This window comes from Homo sapiens, chromosome 17 (assembly GCF_000001405.40).
Source record: "Homo sapiens chromosome 17, GRCh38.p14 Primary Assembly".
NCBI lineage: Eukaryota > Metazoa > Chordata > Mammalia > Primates > Hominidae > Homo > Homo sapiens.
In genome coordinates this window covers 70158638-70180317 of record NC_000017.11, presented here as the reverse complement: position 1 = coordinate 70180317, position 21680 = coordinate 70158638, and the positions used below count along the sequence as shown (strand labels likewise).

The window sequence follows — 21680 nt, the reverse complement described above, 5'->3', positions numbered from 1 at the left end:
TTTCTTAGTTTTTTTTTTTTTTTGGCTTGTTTATTGGTCTTTTGTATTCCCTTTCTACCTAGCCTATTCTATCCAAAAACAAAATATGAGCTTGACTTCCTCTAACTTGAATTAAACTAATCTGTCACCCCACTGCACCTGTCTGTTGAGGCCATTTCTATGGCTCTATGCATCTAACCTATCAGGGTTTATGTTCCATTGTTTGGGAACATTTGCTTTATGGTGTTTCTAGAGTAATCATACGGGAAGCCCAAAGATTCTTCCAAGAATTTGTTTTCAATTTTTAATTTTTTTATTTAGAAATAATAAAATAAGACATAATATATAAAAATATGTACAATCCATGGTTTGTGCAGTACAATAGGAAGACTTTAGATACAAAAAGACAGCAAATGGGAAAATAATAACTATCACGATTGTCAATGGCTAGGATTGTTCAACTTGCCAGAGCCCAGAGCGGAAACCCAAAATTACCAGAAAAGAGATTCTACTTTGCTGAGGGTTGGGGATGGGCAGGTAGCTATGCCACACTTTTTTTTTTCCCACCTTAACATTATTAGACACAGAGTGAAAAAGAACTCACTCTACTTCTCAGGACAAGCTTTTGCTTTTACTGAGTGGTTTATTATAAAATATGAAGTGACATTTATTAATTGTAAGGGAAATATGATTTACGGGACAGAACTCATCAAATAAACAGAGTTGAGATAGGAGTGTACTGGTAAGAAAGGAAGTAAAGAGAAGAAAGAATGCATTAACAGAATAAAAACAAAGTAAAACAAACTTTTCTAGGAATTTGGAAATGACAACAGTGCCATAGTGACATCCTTAAAATGTCTGATTCAAGTATACTCTTAGAGGGATAGAAAACTACTCCTTTCTCAATAATCAAAATAGAGTTCACTTTGTCTACATTTTGTTTAAAAATAGGATAACCAGGAATCTATGGCTCCTCCCAAAAATATAGTGCCCTTCCAGATATGGGCAAAAATTCTTTAAAAGGGAATAAATCCGAAGTAAATCCAACAGGGAATCTGCTTGCAATAGAGAAGCAACACACATCTGGGAATCAACCCCAGATATTCATGGTGAGTCCCCTCCGTCTGCATTCTAATGACATGTGTACATTAATTAAGGAGACCCAGTCAATAAGGACAAATATTTTGAAGGTAAAATGCAGCAATCAATGTCGTGCATTACCTGTGTCTTGGCTCTTGACAAAAAAAAAAAAAAAAAAAAAAAAAAAAAAAAAATTGCCATTTAAAGCTTGTAACTGTTAAAACGCTAATAACTAGAAAAAGGTTTCAAATGAACAGTCCATGCTGAAATAAATAACAGAAGAACATAGCAATACGAACCTTATAAGGCTGGTATATATTTGCTAAAACCATGCTAACCGGTAGCATATAGGTACTAGCTCTCAGAAATTACTGCACTGAAATTATACTTTCTATGGCAATTATTTTTCTTTACAGACCTCTATTTACATTTGGCTTTAAATATGAAAATATCTGATAAACTTTATAAAATGTACACTTTAAAAACATAGCTTCTGCAAAATTTTCTTGAAAAAACAAACCTGTGCACCAGAAATTTTATATTTTTTTCTCTTTTTCAGAAATAAGTTGAAAGATTTCCCTCCCTCTTTCTTGCCCCCCCCATACCCACCCCCTTTCAAATTTCTCAAGTCTTTTTAAGTGGCAGCACTGTGTGTTTAGGGGGAGCCTCTTTTGTGGTCACCCCCATTCTCCACTGTATCTTCATTTAATTTACATATCACTGAATACTCTTTGGTTTGATTATTTTCCTTTGCAAAACATCATAATAGCAGCAGCTGAAGCCCTCAATATCCTCTCACTGTCAAGAACCAAATTGTTGCCTCTTCTGTAAGTTTTCTTTACAACTCAATCCCCAATTCCTCCAACTCTTTAAACACCTTCCCAAACCTGCCTTTACATTTGGATCTAAAACAACCACTTGCTTAACATCTCTTTCTTTGTTTCATTGAAAATAACACCTCAGTTTCCCAAGCCATCAAATCTGAAGGCTGAAAACAGCAAAAATTGTCATAGTTTTGCAGGCACGGCATTCAGATATGGCTGTTCAAGAACCAGAGACCATCACAAACATCAGTTTACAAAATACATGATTCTAGAACAAGCTGTTTTTTAATGGCATACAGAGATATAATACCATAAGAGAGTTGATTTTGAGACTCCAATTAAAAAGAAAAGTCAGTAATCCCAGAATTCACAAATAGGGAACTTTAAATTAAAAAAAAAAAAAAAAAGAGTTCCATTATTGAGCTTCAGTGAGAAAAAAAAAATTATGTTTCTAGCAAGGCAGTCAGCCAGGCAGGGGAGGCTTCTGGAAAACAATGTGTCCTTCCTTAGTAACCTGCTCTAGGGCTCCACAGGAGAAAATGCTTAGCTCACATTCAGTCATAAGTATGCACACAGAAAAGGGAAATAGCTGTTTTAGACCATTATCTCCTTTACTTGTGATTATGTTATATTTTTATGGCTCTCATTGACCCTAAAATACTGAGACATTTTCATTACTATCCTCTGCCATAAAAAAGGCAAGTTTCCTCTCCTTCCTAAGCACTTGATCTGAAGTGCTGCATCAAACTGGCTTGTCCACACCTCCCTGTTTCCCTGCTTTGGCATTTGCCGCCCTATCTGACACTGTAGGACTCAATCCAGACAGACTGATCAGAAGAGCAAGTGTGGAGGCCAGGTGTGGCATCTTCCCTAAGGTGAAGGTGGGCTGGTGATGTCCTGACAGTCCAGGCAATAAATTCAGCAGCAAGGGTTTAAACCCATTTATCTTTCATGCTGGATGGCTCAGTTTTGAGAATGCCAGGATGCCAAGGAGGTCCTATGAAGATCTTGTCTTATGAAATGAATTTTGGAATGTGCAAAAGGAAAAGCCCAGAAAAATATAAGAGTACATCACCATCTCGCACACTACACATGAGCCTGGCCAGCACTGCCTAGCAGGAAAGGATAGACGTCGGTATTGTGTGTGTGTGCCCCTTTCTTCTTCTTCCTCTTAAAATAAAAAAGTTACATGAAAGGACAAAATTTTTAAAAGCACTACACTGACTAGACTCGGTGAGTATGATGCTCTATTTTCTGAATAAGGTGCAAAATGAACCGGCGGTTCAAGGTCTTGCTGAGGTTCAAAGTTATTGTCTCTTGATTTCAAGGCAGCCCATGGGGCTTTGTTTTCTTTTAAGTGTAAGCTCCACTGTGCAAAAATATGCATTATCTTTGGTATTTATTTTAGGTAGTTTAACTTAAAATTTGAGATAACCCATTAACATCATGGAGGAAAAGAAAAAAACAACAACCCAGAGGCTACCATTCGGCTAGTGTTACATAATGCCCTTATGTAACAAAGAGAGAGAGAAAAAAAATCAATTCTAGCAAACGAATTACTGGCCTCAAAAAATCAGGCTCTTGTTTTGGCAGTTAATAGCCAAATACTTGCCACTTTGAAGCGCATCATGAGCTTTCAATAAAATTCAACACTGACTTTAAAATTACACAAAAGGAAAACTACACTGCAACAAAAATACACATTTGTGTTCATGTAGTTAGCAGCTTTTCAAAAATTAAGGCAGAGTCTTGCCTTTGTTATGCCATTAAAAACATCCTTGTTCCCTAAAGAGAAGCATTCTGGATAAATCAAATACCCAACCAAGGCTTGCCTGCAAGTTCAAGTTTTGGAAAAACACAAAACAAAACATAAAAACCCATAACTTATTCTACAACATCTATGTGCCATCGGGTCACATGGAGACATGGTTAGTGCTTTATGCTAATCATGGAGCTTACAGTCTTTCTTTGAAACCATTGTGCTTGCCTCAGTCCCTTGTGGCCGCTTGCTTGACCCATCTTGACCAGTACCGTCATCTGTATAACTGTTTTGGGCCTCTGACCAACAGACCGTGTTGTAAAGTAACTATTCCAGAGAAGGAATCAGTCAGTCATATCTCCGACTCTCGCCGTAAGGGCCTGGGCTCTAGAGGTACACTTGCCTGGTTGTGAAGGTCTATGTCAGGGGGCGTGTCCGTACTAGTGCTTTCTGGAACTCCATTTTCACTGTCGTCTTCCTCTTTGCTTGTGAGGGCAACTTCATTTTCATAGCAAAATGAATTTGCATTTGAGAGGATATATTTCTTTTCTGCTAAGTCTCTGGCACTACAAAGGGGAGTGTTGGGGACTTCGTAAGTTTTGTGGAACCTGGAATAGTCCACTTTGTAGTAGTGCTTCTCTTCAAAGAGCACAGGCTCATAGCGGTGGCCCCACAGGATTTCATTTGCTAGATAAGAGCTACGGCACTGTGTCGTCATGGCAGTGGCTTCCACCATGCCTTCCAGTATGACCACGATTTCAAAGTCTGCGTTGTCAATGTCCTGTTTACTCAAATCATATAAAGGACTGTCTTCATCTATTTCATGGACTATAGTGATTGGGGACACCAGAAATATACGATCGATTCCACTGTCAAACCCAACATTGATGTCTATTTGATCCAGAGGGATATACTCCCCTTCAGAAGTAATTCTGGATTTGAGGAGCTGTGCTCGAACATGAGCTTCCACCAAGTGGCTTTTCCGAAGATTGCCCACTCGCCACATCAAACACAGCTTGCCGTCTCTCATGGCAATCACGGCATTGTGACTGAAGACAAGAGTCTCGTTTCTCTTCTTTGGCTTTGCCATCTTGGCCATGACTGCGCCAATGATGAAAGCATCGATGATGCAGCCCACGATTGACTGGAACACCACCATGAAAACAGCAATTGGGCATTCATCCGTGACACATCTGAAACCATAGCCTATGGTTGTCTGGGTCTCAATGGAGAAGAGGAAGGCAGCCGTGAAGCTGTTGACCTCGGACACACAAGCTTTGCCCTCTTTGGATGCATCCAGGTCCCCATGGAGCAGAGCTATCAACCAAAACACACAGCCAAAAAACAGCCATGACAGGACGAAAGCCAGGCAGAAGATAACCAGCATCCACCGCCAGCGAATGTCCACACACGTGGTGAAGATGTCTGCGAGGTACCGTTGCCCCTTCTCACCCACATTGATGAACTGAACATTACAGTGGCCATCTTTCTTCACAAAGCGGCTCCTGCACTGTTGTCGGGTGTGGACTTTACTCTTCCCGTTCCCAAAGCCATTTGCAACTGCCATGGTGGCCAACTTCATACCGTCTTCTTCTGAAGAGACGATGCTGTAGCGGTTGGTTCGCACACTGCCCATCGCTTCTGCTGGGGACTCCAGTGCTTCTGCTTTGGAAAACAGTCTGAGTTTTTGCAAAACGCTTTGGAGAAACAGTTTTGAATGTTCGGTGAAGACACACACACCAAAAAAATGAGGAGAGATGGGTGTCTCTGGGAGCCTTGTGGTTCTACCAAGGTCTGTCTACTGACATGCAGAGTTACTTTAATGACTCAGCTGACATCCAGAGAACATGTCCTGCAAGAAAAGAGAGACTGTGCATTACAAAATAAGCCACTCTTAAAGAATTCTACTGTCTAAGACAATATATCCTAACAAAAACACATAATCAGGTAAAGATAAGTATAATTTACATTAAATTATAAGGTTTTAAATTTCTTTGTATCCTAAGCATGCTTTGTAAAACTTTTATTTAAAAGCATAAAGTCGTTAAACATAGAAGAGTTGTCTGTGACAGTTGTTCAACCAAAATGTCAGGTCAGGTCCCCTTTCCCTTCTTTTTGGCCAGGGATCTAGAATATTCTATTGTTCAGGTCTACCTCTCCCTTCTCTTATTCTCTTCTTCTGCCTGCCCCACTTGCTAGGATCCCTGTTAAGCAGATGAAAGACTGTCTGATTCCAAGGTTTGTCGTAAAATTTTTGGAAAAAGGACATGTTTAGAAAACTTCACGTGGACGCAGCATTGATATCCACTGAGTTGCATGTGCATTACGGGAGAATATTAGAGTCCCTGATGGCAAGGTTGAAATCGGAAGACAGACTATTTTGTTTAAATGATATAACTGAGCAGACCGGATAGGCTGACGAAATGCTAGAGGAAGAAAGTCAGATTCCCACCTACAAATAGAATAGTGAAGTGGATTTTGGAGTAGGCTTGACTGAGTGTGTATCCTGAAAATAGAGGGAACTAGTGGACAAAACCTCCTACGATGGTGAATACTGCCCCTATTGCTTATAATAATCTGAAATGGATCCCAGTTTCTGGATACTGTTTGGGCTTGCTTCATCACTTCTCACACTTTAAGCAACCACTATGCAGAAATGCCTGCTAAGTCTCTATTAGTACAGGTAATTCTGGCTTGAAGACTCTGAAGATGCAGGTTTGCTCTGGGGGATAGAGAGCAATTCTGTTGCCTAGCAATAAGAGCCCTGAAATTCTCCTGAGATGGGGCTGTCATGTGTAATGACAGGCTAGGAAGTAAGCACCGTTGTGCCAAAGGACCAGGTCTTTAGCGGATTGAGATAAGGCAGGAACTCATTTCATGTGAGTCCAGTGCTGTGTTCTCTCAGACAGAGACAACTGTGTAAGGACAGATCATAAATGCCAGTCCGCTTACTTTCACTTCCAGCGCTGTTATTTGGTATAGGTTCCTATGGAGAAGGCACTCACCTTTACTTAATATGTGCAAATAGTAGTTCTCAGTTTTCTCCTATTGCCTCAGTCTTCCCTAGCTAAGAACTATCTATGTACTTCAACTTTCCATCTTCACTCCTAAGAAACTATTTCCCTTGACTAACTAACAAAAAGCTAAGAGAAAGTCTAAGGTGTTTTCTTTACCAAATGTGTAATAACAAAACTAATAAGAGTTAGAACTGAAAAATAAAGCCCATCTTCAACTTTTCATACAACCAAATCCTTCTGCTATATTAAAGGGGGGCAATGAATAACTCATGAAAAGAGTCAGAAATTTGTTGATGCCTGATAATGAAGACTCCACTTTTTCCTTCTCCTCTAAATCCATTAAGATTAAACAGTTAATAGAACCGATATCAGCCAAGCCAGCCGCAAACAAATAAAGCAATCCATTTATGTTGTTTTTGTGCATTCCCTTAAGAAGAGGCAAGGTGCATTGCCTTTGAAAATGCCTTGTTACTGTCTTTTGACTTCTTCTTTATCCAAGTTATTATGCAAGAATGTGCCCCAACACATTTTTCCTGAGATTAGTCATCTTTGAAAATTGCAATGTGTGTTACATTTTGGCAGCTTTTGACACCTAAATGATGCTCAGTTTGAAAGTGCCTTTGAATTACTTTATAAAAAGAAGTTACTGTGCTTTCCTAACCTTCCACCTGCTTCAATGTTTTGTCTGCTTCCCTGTGAAGTTTGCACTTGGACCAAAGAAACAAGAATCCTGCCCCTCGAAGTTCTAGATCCTGTACATGGACAGCATTTTTTAAGCAATTATTTCATCTTAGTTTTCTCACATTACTAAACAGACAGAGACAGCAACAACACCAAACGCAGGTATACGTTTCAAAAAAAGGAGAAGAACTTCATTCAATGAATGCTTTGTATTTTTGAGTTCTGATTGACTTCAGAACTTTGTATTATAAGCTGACACCAAGAAATTCCCTTTTCATGATTCAAAACAATCCTTCCATGTGAGTTACCATTAGGGGCCATGAGTAGACAGTCTCAAATTTCTTCTGACTTATTTCTGTACTCCTTCCAGATTAAAACATAACAACCATATGAAATCTAAAGACTGAATTATGACTTTCCAAAAATCTTGACCCCAGGACATTTGTTTGAATTCCACAAATCACACAATACCAGCTTCCTATGAATAGCTTTCCACATTTAGAATCTTGAAAGTAGCCTGTATTGAGAGACTATTATTGTCTTATTTCCATTGCTAATAACAGAATTTGTTCCACATGTGGAGCATCATTTAGAAATTTTACCATTTCTTCCTGGAAAGAGAAAAAGAGGAGTTTTGGGCTTTTTTTTTTTTTTTTTTTTTTTTTGGCAAAAAGAAAACTTTTGCCACTTTAAATAGATATGCCCCCAAACAGATTTATGTGTGTATGCAGGTGCACACACATATATGTATGCAGACTTTTTGTGGAGCTGATTACATAGCTAAAGTCTAGAACCTGTCAAGGTTTGATGGGGTAACGGTCTTAATATTTCATGGTAAAAATTGCTTTTACTGTTAACCTGCCCACATGCCTGAGCGACTTTAAGCAAGCAGAAAACTTCCTTGCCCGGTCCTCTCACTAGCAATTACCAATTCGTGAGCAGCTGAGAAAAGCTATCATTAAAAAAACAGGGCTTACATGCAACTTTATTTCAAGCATATATTCAAAATAATGTTTGAGATGCAATCAATGAGGAGTAGATGAGAACACTAAGTGATACAAATCCAGAGAATTGAAATTTGATTTGATGAACAATGTGTAAATCTCCCTTCCAGCCAAAATATTTAAGGGTCTAGATGTAAATTTCATGGACACAAATAATCATTTTTATCCAGGCCATAACCCATGATGTAGAAAGTATTTTTGGGAAATTGAGAGGTTACATGTGGTGCTGTTCATGTTAAGACTATTTATAGGCTGAGCCAAAATTAAGCATAAGCAATGGAAAAAAATAGTTCAGCGTTTTAAACTTAGGTAGATGTTAAAGGAGAAAGAGCTATGGATAAATGTAAGGTCAAGGAGATCACATGGTACAAATGGGGGATCTAAATTGCTTTGACTATATAGGTAATACTTCCAATATGGCTTATAAATAACTAAAAAAAAAAATCAAATGAGAGTAAATGTGTCCTGTAATATGGTCATGGTGTGCAATAAATAAGAAAGTTTCTAAGGATAGGAAATAAAGATAGCAAAAGAAAACGTACTGGGCTGAGAGAGAGGTCTGCTAATGAGTGTTTAGAGCAGCTATTCCCCAGCTGACGCCATATAGAACAGCCTGAGTGTGCTCTGGGCACATGTTGCTATGTGAGCACAACTGCTAGGAAAGCAGCCTCTTAGAAGCTCAATAAACATGAGGGAGGAGGAGGGGGAAGTGGGGAGGGGAGGGGGATACCCATCTATCTACGTGTGAGCCCCCTGTCTAACATTTATACTCAACGACACTTGGCTTGTAGCACTGCTCAGCATTTGCATACGCTGAAAAACAGACATGTTTGGTAAATAAAAATATACACTTAAAAAAATCTGAAACACTTAATCTGTGCAGGTAGCTGTTTTCAATCTTTCAGGCTACGCAAAAGTCATACAAGGACGCTACAGCTAACCAGAGATTCTACAACTCAGGAATCCAAAGGATGTAGAAAGACTGTGTTCTTTTATTTTTTTTAAAAGCAAAATTCACATGAGTTTAGATCAAATATTTCTTATGGAGACCAAGAACATTAAAAAATAAAGTGTCATTAAAATATGAGAGAGGAGGAAGCTAAGTAAAATGGCCTTGACCTTATCCTCACCCTTTCCACCATGCTTCAATTAACATCTCTTACCCCTTCTGAGCACCAGGATTTTTCCAGATAATGGCAAATAGAAATGAAACATTTGGAAGTGAGCAGGAAAACGCTAACAAGTGTACAGATAATGTACAGCAGACACACAACATTGGTTGGCGAGAGGAAATCTGGCAGCCTATTGATTATTAATGTGAAAAGAAAACAAATGATAAAACGCAATATGGTTTCTTTGCATATCCGAGGTTTTCAAATAACACCTTATTTCCTAACAGGTAAAATCTGAATTTATGAAAATCGTCGGAATTCACAGCCTTTTATCCTAGTGATCATCCTATGATATCCTTACCCAGACACAGACATTAAACTGCCCATTCCCTATCCCTATTTTTTTTCCAATTGTCATGATGAATCCACGCTATGATGCAATCTTTTTGCAGAATCAAGTCGTTTTGACTATTTTGCTTTCCTAAAACCACACTGTCTTCAAGCCAGGTATTAATACCATTATTACTGAAAATAACAAATTGGTTAGGGGAGAGTGATATGTAATGTGAAAGTTTTGCGATCCTCAGGCTCAAATCCAACTCGGGCTCCCGCTCTTCTTTCAGGAAGGCAACTTTGAGACACTCACTCTGTTTGAAACTCACAGCTATACTTGAAGCAATGACGAAAAAAAAAAAAAGCCAAGGATCAAGAATAGTGCTGAGTCCCAAGCTTTGCCAAGGTTTAAGACCAGGGCTCAAGACGCACCCCCAAACCCGCAACCACGTTTTCTTTCTTTTTTTCCCCACTTAGAGTGAGAACCGAACACAGACGCTCTCGCCCTTGCCTCCAAACCCAGTATCTCGCTACAGCTGGTGCATTGGAAGTTATGAGCACAAACAGATGCTGCAGAGAAATCTGTTTCTATTGCTCAACTGTTCCAAGCATGTCTCAGTATTTTTAGCTCTGGGGATGTTCTGGTGCGCACACAAACTATATAGGCATGATCTGGGACTCCGGAGTGTGGGTGAGCGCTACAGCAGTGTGACAGCTGGGCACCTCTGGAGCAGCGGGGCAGGGTAGGGTAGGGGACGGCGGCCAGAGTCCATTCCCCAGGACACACCGGCAGCGAGCGAAAAGGAAGAAAACACAGCAGCCCTTACCTGTTGCTGGCGCAGGAGCATGGGGACATGGAGTGGAAGTGGGGGGTACAGAGGCATGTAAGATCCAGTGGTTTGTAAAAAGCGAGTGAGCCAAAGCAAACCAGAATTCCCAAGACCCAGCCCGCCGGCGCCGGGAAGGCTGCGCGCTGGCCAGGGCTCCAGTGCGCTCTGCAATATCCTGGGCTCTTTTGAGGCGGTCCGTGCGACACCGGCTCTCCTGGCCCCGCCCCCGGCCGCTGCCGGCCAATCGCAGCGCGCCTGGCCGCGCGGCCGGCCCCGGGAACCGCGGCGGGGAGGGGAGGATGCTGCGAGGCGTTGCCAGCGGAGGGAACCTGCCGCCGCCTCGTCCCCCTCCACCCTCGGAGCCCGGCCGGGGAGTCGGGCCCGGGCCGGGGAGGAGGAAGTTGCGGCCCAGCTGGGACAGCAGCAGGTGGGAAGCTCCGCGCCCGGCTGTTGCGGCTGCCTGATTGCAGCCTGGCCTTGGGCAAAGCTTCCTACTCCGTCTGGAGCCCCACACACTTCCCGGTTCCCCCGCTCTTGGGCCGCTTGCCCTGCGTGCTCCTCGAGGGGCCTGCGAGGTGCCAGCGCCGGGTAGAGACCTTTGCCGCAGGGGCAGGATTGTTCGTCGGTCCCGGCGCGTCTCCCTCTCCACTCCCTCTCTGCCGGAGCCCCTCGGCCCTTCGAAGCCCCCCGCGGAGGCTGCAGCGCCCGGAGAAGCCACTGAGTCAATGGGGCGAGGGACTGGGGCGGGCGCGCAGAGCCCCCAGGATTGAGACGCGCGCAAGTGCGGCCACTGCAGCGCCGCTTGGCTGTTTGTTCTCCCGACTGTTCGCGAATTACTTACAAGGCGCCTAGGCTTCTCCGAAGGGTGGACGGCTCGTTCCCTCTCGCCTTGTCCGCCCTCAGTCTCTCCACCACCGCCCGGCACGCTTTGCTGATCTAAAATCAGAACAATTAGAGAGTAATGATTTTTTTTGGAATAGCAACTCCTACAGACACTCAGATCTGCCCTCGCTTCAGCGCCTCCCAGCCCTCCTTCCCAGCAGCCAGGCGAGAGCGCGCAGACCCCTAAAAAGCAACTTCAGTGTTAACCGGGTCTGGATCCTGGAACTTTATAAACTAATCCGTGTGTGTGTGTGTGTGTGTGTGTGTAAACCGAAGAGTAAGTGCCTATTATTTCTGAGTACTTCGGTGTCCTAACGAAGCTTTGCTCCTAAAGGACAGGATATATTTTAGGAGTCTTTCTTTCCACTGAGTTTTTTAAATGTTTATTTTCTCGAGCGATCAAATGTGTCTTTTGTGCAGTTTATTTAAACCTCGTAAGGCCTCCTTGAGTCGCTGAACTAATTCAGCAAACTAGCTGGTATTGTGGACGGCGCAGTCGGGGTGGATTTTTGTGTGTAGGAGAGGTGAAACTGACAATTCAAGGAAAGGTTCTGTGCGAGTCCCCACCTCCCATCCTCATATCCACACGTGGCCCCTAGGAGGTGCTGGTGAAATATGCTTGCTTAGGTTTCGCAGATCCGCACTTACTCCTGCCTTAACAAGTGTGCCTTTTTTCTTAGCACTGAGCAAGGTACTTAAATTAAAAGGGTGTGCAAGAGATGATGCACTCGGTGTGGCTGCTCTGATAGCCAAATGGCGATGTGGTCCCAGTTAATGTGTTGAGATTATACTGTTCACCAAGCCCTGTTACGAACTCTGTTGCCATGCACGTGGGAATAATGCCTGCCCCAAGGGAGGTCTTCTTTAACATCTATTTAGTCATGTGTTATTTATAAACAGCTTGAATTAATACTGTAAAATAGACGGATGTCTAAGAATCTAGGCTGTAGCCTAAAGCTAAATGAACCTGAGGGTAGACAAGTTCACTCTGTATTAACCAAAGGATAATGAATGAGTTCACCGCTCAGTTCAATAAGCTTCTTCTGAAATATGCTTCCTCCTGGACTTCTAAGAAACAGGCCAAAAGTTTAATTATCCCTTAAAACATGTTAAGCCTAAATAGAAAAAGGAAATTAATCATTTATAGATTTTCTCTTCTTTATTATGATTCAGTTGGTGCATCTGTAGATGGCTAAGAATTTTCCAAACCACGTGAATTCAGAGAGGCAACACTTTTGTTGTTGTTGTTTTTCCAGGTAATGAGCTCGCTTTGAAAACCAGTCACTCGGAAAGGGATGGCATTTTTATGCAACTTGGATTGAAATGGTTTTGCTTTAGTATTCTACTCTAATTAGAAAGAATACACCACAGGCCGAAATAGTTTCATATGATAGGAAAATCTTTAAAGAAAGGAACACAGAGTTATTAGATTATGGTTGGCTGTATAAATTTAGCTGGGCAGCGGGAGGAAGGTCATAATAAATGTATCCTGCTCTCTCTCATCAATTATCAGCAGCACATCCCCCAACATTCTCTCCTCCCAAAGACTGAAGGATGTGCAGCAAAGCTTAGATCTTGAAGGAGAAGGTTCGGGAAAAATTAATGATTTTAATTAGAACTTTCCAATCTAAGTAGAATCATTACCTTAATTAGCTAAATAAGGAAGTATGAAGGATGAAATTTTGCAAATGAAATTTTGTAAATGTATGGTAGCGTAGAATACCCCCATTGCTTCATTTTAAAAAAAGAAAATATAAATGCATTTTAATTAATAAATGACTTTTCATCATGTCCCTATTAGGAAAATTCTGTGTGCCAATGCTTTCAGTGTTTGATTTAATACATCTTTTGAAGTGATGCGTGATGCAGATTTCTGTATTCAGAGTCTATCTTTTTTGGCTGAATCAGGCCTTATTTAGCAAAAATCCCCATTAGTCTTGGACACGAATGCAATTGGGTGTTGGGATCCATCTGTGGATTAAATTTTTCCAAGGAAATGACAATTATGCTCTTACTGATTCTCTCCACGGTAACCACCTATAATATTAGAGCCAAATATTAGTCACAATCTGGATCTGCAGTCAGATTGTGAATAGCTGTGTGACGCAGAAGGTGATTGTTTCACTAGAAGCACAGATCTTTCCTTTGCATTTATATAAAGATCCCCAACAATTAGACATACTTTCAGACTTACATTAACCATGTATATGCAGTTCAAATTCACAATGGTAAAACATCAAACGCTCCTGGCATTTGTATCCACTGGATATTAAAAACCACTTTCTAATCTTCAAAGTAATCATCATTAGCAATAAATAGTAAATAAATCATTGTCAGATTGCCCGGAAATGTAGACAGGCTGAGTTTGCAATCTGCTGCTATGAGAACAAGCCACTTACTGTGGTATTTTAAGGCACTGTATGTAATCTTATTTATTGGAAAACAGTTTTGGCCTTTAGTTTCACTTACTGCATTGATAATATTTAATCTTCATATTTTTAAATTCAGTGAACGTATTTGTTGAAATAACTACGTTGTACTTTGGCTATATGCTAGGTGAGATGAAAGACAGAAGTGTCCTAGCGGGAGTAATTCCTCTTCTTAAGAGTTCAAAATGTCTAACTGAGAAGATGAACAAGGCAGAAGTGAAACATTTAAATGATTAAACAACAATATAAGGCAGCTTATGATTATGCACTAAAATGGATCAAGCAACAAATAAAACGATAATCTTAGATTTTGAAGAATGGAATGAAGCAGGGTAAGACTTTGTAATGGAAGATTTAATACATATGACATATTACTATGTGTAGTGGTATTAAGGATGCTGAGAACACGTCAGAAGATAGGAGTGGCTCCTCATTCAGTTAATTTCTTAAATGCCTGCTATGCCCCAGACCTTTCTATATACAGGTAATCAAGCATATGAATTATAAGTTGTTTCTAAGAATAAATGTCAGTTACATGGAAATGAATGAAAGGAACAGTATGTTTTAGTATAACTTTTGATGATTACTCAATATGATTATAATAAACATAAGCTATTTCATTTTTTACCTGCAATACAGTAGGCCTATCAGGTTACAGTAGAGCCTTTTCTCCTGCATTAAATGACCCTAGACTAAGCTTATTTAAGCCCTTCTGCTTGTTTTCCCTTCTCCATCAATGTGAGCCTTCCGTTCTCATTTTTGCTTCTGATAATGTGCCTTGAATCTGTCAGACTGTCACCATGCTCTGCCTAATTTGTTGATTCTAATCTGTGCTGGGCTGATAAATTATGTAACCAAGGTTGCTAAAGTAATGTACAAGCAAATATGATTTAACATATCTAAAGATGCATTTTTGAAATAGTATGAGCAGATGCTGAATTTGGAGTTACCTTCGCTTGGTCAACCTCCTTTTTGGGTAAAAAAGCTTCAGGATTTGGATTTATGGCATCTATTTTGCTTCTCAGAGCATTTAAATGGCTTAGTCTTTGTATTTGCTGTTATAAATAGCTGAGGAAAACTTCTGAGTAAGTGAGATACCCGCGTGTTTGCAACTATCCATATGTTTATATGTACACATAAAATCATGTACTGATGTATTGAGAAAATATTTCAGTGCTTACTTTATCCGTTTATTATTATGACCTTTATTTTCCATCAAATATGTTAAAACCAAAATCAATAAGTGGGGCTGTTCTTTAAGAAGCTCACACTTCCAGAGCCTCCATGTTATTATTTAGTAAATTACCTATTCTGTCATGCTCTGGAAGACTTCATTTATCTCACATGAGTGAGACAATTACACTCTGAAAATACCATATTCATTTTAGGGCCAGACCCTACATTACTATGTTTCTTGATTCAGTGATTACAATGATCATTTCATCTGTGTTTTCTGGGATACATTAGGTCTCCCAAAGGTAATGAGTTTACAGCCTCGGTTTACCCTCTATAACCACGGATGGCAGTTCCTTAGATCAGGTAGCCTTGCCGTAAGTGCACGTCATTGGTTAGAAGAGGTGCCAGCTGAGAAAACATCAATCATTATGCACAGACTCATCACTGCCACTGGGGAAAGGCAAGCCTTATAACTGGAAGGGTGTAGTATCATCATTTAATCATAGTAATCAAGCAGTAATAAGAAGACTAATAATAAGCTAGCCTCTACGGAGGGTTTTCCAGGAAACAAACACTGCTTTTGTGCTTTACAGGATGTGCTATTCTGATGTTCTGTATTGCACGTACATTTGCATGGGAAAATAATGAAGAGAGGGAAGATAGGAAGGAAGGAGGAAGTAGAGGAGACTAGAAAATATTCATTAGAAACTATTGGTTCTAAAGGAGACACAAACACGTTCAGTAGCCACTAGGGAAAGTGAGACTGCCACCAGCATCCATAGTCACCCTCTACAGCACAGTAAGAAATGCTTTCCAGTGAGAGGTGCCACCATTAGCAAACTGAATCTCATGTTTAAAACACCTGTAAGAATGTCTCTTTGCTTTAGTAATACATCTTTGGAAGATCATGAGAGTCATGCAACTTGACTTTTTCCAGAACTTATAAAAACAAAACAAAAAATTAAAACAAACAACACAAACTTCAGACAGCCAAAACTAATCACTATTGTAGATATTTATGGAATATGCCACAAGCTACGAGGAAAATGCAAAACATATTTTCAGTAACGTCAACAACACTGTAATGATACTCTTTTTTTTTTTTTTTTTTTTTTTTTTTTTTTTTTTTTTTGAGACGGAGTCTCGCTCTGTCGCCCAGGCTGGAGCGCAGTGGCGGGATCTCGGCTCACTGCAAGCTCCGCCTCCCGGGTTCACGCCATTCTCCTGCCTCAGCCTCCCAAGTAGCTGGGACTACAGGCGCCCGCCACTACGCCCGGCTAATTTTTTGTATTTTTAGTAGAGACGGGGTTTCACCGTTTTAGCCGGGATGGTCTCGATCTCCTGACCTCGTGATCCGCCCGCCTCGGCCTCCCAAAGTGCTGGGATTACAGGCGTGAGCCACCGCGCCCGGCCTGTAATGATACTCTTGAAAGAAAATGTACATACTTGAATGTCTAGATTTTCAGATGTGGGCTTTAAGAATTTGTGGGTTTTCCATGGTGTATATGTGCCACATTTTCTTAATCTAGTCTATCATTGTTGGACATTTGGGTTGGTTCCAAGTCTTTGCTATTGTGAATAATGCCGCAATAAACATACGTGTGCATGTGTCTTTATAGCAGCATGATTTATAGTCATTTGGGTATATACCCAGTAATGGGATGGCTGGGTCAAATGGTATTTCTAGTTCTAGATCCCTGAGGAATCGCCACACTGACTTCCATGGAACACTCTGCAGCCATAAAAAATGATGAGTTCATGTCCTTTGTAGGGACATGGATGAAATTGGAAATCATCATTCTCAGTAAACTGTCGCAAGATCAAAAAACCAAACACCGCATATTCTCACCCATAGGTGGGAACTGAACAATGAGATCACATGGACACAGGAAGGGGAATATCACACTCTGGGGACTGTGGTGGGGTGGGGGGAGGGGGGAGGGATAGCATTGGGAGATATACCTAATGCTAGATGACGAGTTAGTGGGTGCAGCGCACCAGCATGGCACGTGTATACATATGTAACTAACCTGCACAATGTGCACATGTACCCTAAAACTTAAAGTATAATAAAAAATAAAAAATAAAAAAAAATAAATTTAAGAATTTGTGGGTTTTTTTAAAGAGTATTTTTTGGTATTTTTAAAAATCATTGCTACAATGATGTATGTCTATTTTGGAAAATGTAAAAGATAAGCATTTGAAAATGTAGAAGAATGTAGATAAATGTGGAAAATAATATAAATTCATATTCCTACCATTGAAAGATAACCATTATAAATACTTTGATATATCTTTCTCCTTTTCCTCTATTTCTGTTTCTATTTTTAAGTCTATGTTTTATAACTTTTAAAAATTAACATATTGGGTTTTTTTTTTTTTTTTAATGATGGGGTCTCACTATATTGACCAGGCTGGTCTCAAACTCCTGACCTCAAGCGATCCTCAAACTCAGCCTCCCAAAGTGCTGGGATTATAGGCATGAGCCACTGCGCCTAGCCTCTGTAATTTTAAGATCAATTGTGTCATACTTTTAGTGCATGAGCATCACACTTTTTATATTATGCAAGCATCTGTCATGCAACTAAAAATTATTTGAAAGTATATATTTTAATGCTCACATATATTTTATGAACTATAATTAATTGTCACCTATCCTTATACCTTTATATTCATTTTTTTTTTGTTTTTTACCCTTATAAGTATGCATTTGCCTGGCCTTGGAGATTTTTTATCTTCATATTTTTCTCCTTTCATTATCGATTTCTAGATGTACAATTACTAGGTCAAAGCTTATGAACTCTTAAAGGTTTTTTTTTTTTCTTTTTTTTAATGCAGTTCTTTCTAACAAAATCTCAATGGATTGAATCTCAAGGATGTTCTAAATTATGTGACTTCACTAGTGGCAGTATTGCCCAGTGGGGAGAGGTTGAGCTTTGGGTCAACTTGACATGTGTTTGCAACCTGCCACTTACTAGTCGTGAAAGATTGTAATAGGAATTAGAAATAATATATGTAAAATGCCTAACACTTTGTGATCAACTAATCAAAGGTATCTTTTTATTCTGTCACTATTGCTACTGCCACTAATGATGATGAGAATGATAAAGTGAATAAATCAAACATGTTAGCTAGGATAATAAGGCATGCATACAATAAGTCTATAAATAAGTAACAGAATTTTCTGTAGTGCTTGAATAAGTGCTAAAGTCATAAATGGAGAGGTAAGCATCTGAGGAACTTAGCAACATATTAGTTCTATATTTGATAGTACAGGTTGGCATGAAACAGAGAAAAAAGTAAAATGGATTTCACAATTGATGATCAGAATTTGAATAAATTCATAAAGGTATTTAAAGAAATATTAAGATTGAACATTAAACTTGGACCAGATTTTAGTCTTTCAAGACAAAGATCTTGAGTTGACACTTGGATTCTTTACACAGGGAGAGATCTACAGATGACTGAGCAGAAGGATAAGATGTGTCAACAAGGCTGTTGGAACATTAATCAAACTGTCATTTCTTCATCCATTGCCTCTGGATGCAGCCCTACCATCTTATCTTTGCTTCCATTTTTGTTTTCTTAATATGATTTCCAACATTCCAATTTTTATTTAAAAGGAAATAGAGATATAGAAATTATGTTCCATCTCTTCATGTGAATGGGACCTATACGTGTGGACTCCTAGCCTGCTGATATCAAATTCAATGTTTATTCCTCTGTTTTCTGCAGAGTATAACTTTTCCTAGCATCTCTGCTCAGACAAATCTAGAAACCTAAAATAAGACCTCTATTTTTCAAAGCCACTTTCTAATTCTCCCCTACATATCCTCCACATTATTTCTTTCCTAACTCTAAAATATATGAAATTTGAATTTTTGCTCCTTATGCAGGACCAAATTCCAAATGCTTGGCTCAATTTTCATGGTTCTCTGTCTAAGAGTTTCTTCCACTTTAAAAATAAATTTGATCAGTATCTACAGGTTTAATTGAATGTTTCCTTTATCATTGACCAGTTTCCATTCTGTAGGCACTTATCCTCAATCGAGATTTAATTTCAGTGTTCCAAGAAATTTATGTTTTAATATTCAATGTCCTAGTGTATAAATTACAAATAAATAAAATTTGTATTGCAACTATGCAAAAATGAAATGCTGTACCCAACTACTACCAATAACATTAGTGATTTATGATAGCACAATAATATTCATAGCATTATGACTATTAAAAGAAAATGCAAGTTTTCAGGTGAAACTTTTAGCTCCATGACAGACTAGCCTGTAGTTATCTGTGTACACAGTTTACAGCTACAAAAACCTACTTTGCTATTTATTGCAGAAAAGTACTCAGTTAAAAGTAAGCGTTGTTCCTTCAGCAAAATATTCACTGACCCAAAACTCTTTGTGACATTTTACAATGCACACAGCCTCATGCAAGTTTAGACAAGTGGATTTATACTGTCTTATGAGTTCCCGCCCCTAATAAATTACCTCATAATGCAAAAGTAACATATCTTTCATAACTATTTTGACAAAAGTTTAAAACACATATGATGAAGTTCAACTTTCAGGAACCAAGGACTGTCAGAAAATATTAGTTTCTACATTATATGTGCATTTAGAAGTTTACTTGAAATCTGCCTTTTATAAAGGAATGGTATGACTAAGTGGAACTGTACATTTTTTTAACTTGATTGCCATTAAAGCAGAAATTATAAGGTTGAAAAAAAATAGGTGCTTAATTAGATTTTTTAATGTACCTATTAGGCTCAAATCCAGACATTTCATCTGCATCATTTGGATTTGAGCTACATACAATTCATTTTAAGTGTTAAATAAATTTAAATGAATTACTATTATAAGCAAATGTTTTCAGAAATTGTTTCTAGGATTAGCGATAGAGCAACTCTGAATTTATATCATAGACTTAAACTATATCACCAGTGTTTCAGCTTCTGATCTTTTTATCAGCAAAGATCTCATTTCAAAACGTGTAGTAATACAAAAGTCTATTCTTTTGTATGGTTTGCATAACTGAGTCACCAAGTTTTAGTAAGGCAGGAACTGACAGTATAAATAAGCTTTTTTTTTTTTGTAATCTGATTGCCATTTCCCTGCATGTAAACAGAAACATGTGAATACTCACATTTTGCCTGTTTAAGTCAACTTGGGAAAAAATTAATTAGGAGAGCCAGCTTTCCCATTTACTGAGGTTAAACCTCTTTTATGTGTTAGCATGTGTAAGAATGCTTTAAAAAAAAACCTTGAAAAATAATATGTCCTACCTATCAAAGTCCAAAGCTATTGCTTTTACTGTATATTATTTTTATATAAAAATACAATGCCTTCTTTGCACAGATTAAGCTAAGGAAGGTATATACTTAATAGTTTAGTTGGCAGAAAGCAAATTCAAAAAGTATATGAACATGCAGGCACACACATACAGACACATGCACATATACAATTATATCTGTTGACCCAATGATGACACATCCAAAAACCTTATCAAAAGATGAAGAGGGCTAAGATTTGATTTGCAGTTGCTTAGTTCTAACAGAAGAGCTGTGGTCAGTTCTAAGACTCTTTCTCATAACCTGCCTTCATGATCTTGATTTTATGGTATTTAGAGTCCAGTTACATTTTGCAATTTAAAAAGTCACCTATTCACTCATTACACACATATTTATTATGCACTAAAATATGAAACATTCAAAATAGACACTGGCAACTCTCAGTATTTTTGAAAAGTAGAACAATCTGTAAAGCTGTAAGGCTAAACAGCTTCAACATGTCAGTAAAACATGAGCTAAGTACACATAATTTAAGCAGTTCCCTTAGACTAAAAGACAATGCACATATTATTTAAATTTTTTTTCAGAAGCAATCTGAACATCTACCTGATCAAAGTATCATTTAGCCCAACAGGTTTAGTCCCCAATGCCGTATCCATAGTTTCAAAATCCAGACAGTATAATGGAAATTTATACAAGTCATTTTAATCCTGGGTTCAAAATGAATCAATGCTCTTCTCTAAGTGAATTAAACAGAAATGAGTTTACTCCTCCCTGTATTCTATCTTCTTTCCTTAAGCATTGCTTGCCTTTGTTCCTTTTTTTTCTCTCCATAGTCCGTACATTATTTCAAGTCCTACATAAAGGGGATTGGGACCCCAAAATAGCCGGTGATCCACGCAGAGTGCTGTGAATTATATTACTACCACGATTTAGCACTGGGTTCATCTCTGAAAATACAGCTCAAGACCTGCATGATTCGAGCCACAGCCTCCGCTGAAAAGCGTTGCCTATCAAAGCAACACACAGAAAAAGCACCAAACATGCCTGATAATATAAAACCAAGCCATACCCCCACAGGGTGAGACAATCCAGTCAGCAAGAAAAAAAAATCATTGTTGGAATTATTTCTCCATAATGGAAAGCAATTCTCTGTGAGTTGAGTTACAGGTCATGACATAAAACCAAAGAAAAAAAGAAAGAGCTCTAAGCATTGACAGATGTTCTGTGCTCGCTCCTGTCTCCTGAACCCCTCCGAGTCTCCATCAGAAGGCAGCCTGA

At 39.1% G+C, this 21680-nt stretch overlaps 1 protein-coding gene and 1 long non-coding RNA gene across 2 annotated transcripts, besides 1 other annotated feature; one reads left to right on the top strand and one right to left on the bottom strand.

Moving 5' to 3' along the window:
- On the bottom strand, positions 274–10786 carry KCNJ2 (potassium inwardly rectifying channel subfamily J member 2). The gene is made up of 2 exons (NM_000891.3): positions 10617–10786; positions 274–5494 (listed from the first exon to the last, which is right to left on the bottom strand). Exon 2 carries the CDS (start codon positions 5276–5278, stop codon positions 3995–3997), a length of 1284 nt encoding a protein of 427 aa, NP_000882.1. The 5' UTR covers positions 5279–5494; positions 10617–10786; the 3' UTR covers positions 274–3994.
- Positions 10731–11190: a silencer, noted in NCBI's record as "silent region_8907". NCBI's record gives its function as "represses an Ori minimal core promoter by ATAC-STARR-seq in GM12878 lymphoblastoid cells {active_cell/tissue: GM12878}" and the evidence as "EXISTENCE:reporter gene assay evidence [ECO:0000049][PMID:35858748]".
- On the top strand, positions 10916–13357 carry KCNJ2-AS1 (KCNJ2 antisense RNA 1). The gene has a single exon (NR_036534.1). It is a non-coding gene; the product is annotated as a KCNJ2 antisense RNA 1 (long non-coding RNA).

Bases quoted from the DNA above. Each gene is read 5' to 3' on its own strand.
- KCNJ2 (NM_000891.3), bottom strand. From the start codon at position 5,278: ATGGGCAGTGTGCGAACCAACCGCTACAGCATCGTCTCTTCAGAAGAA.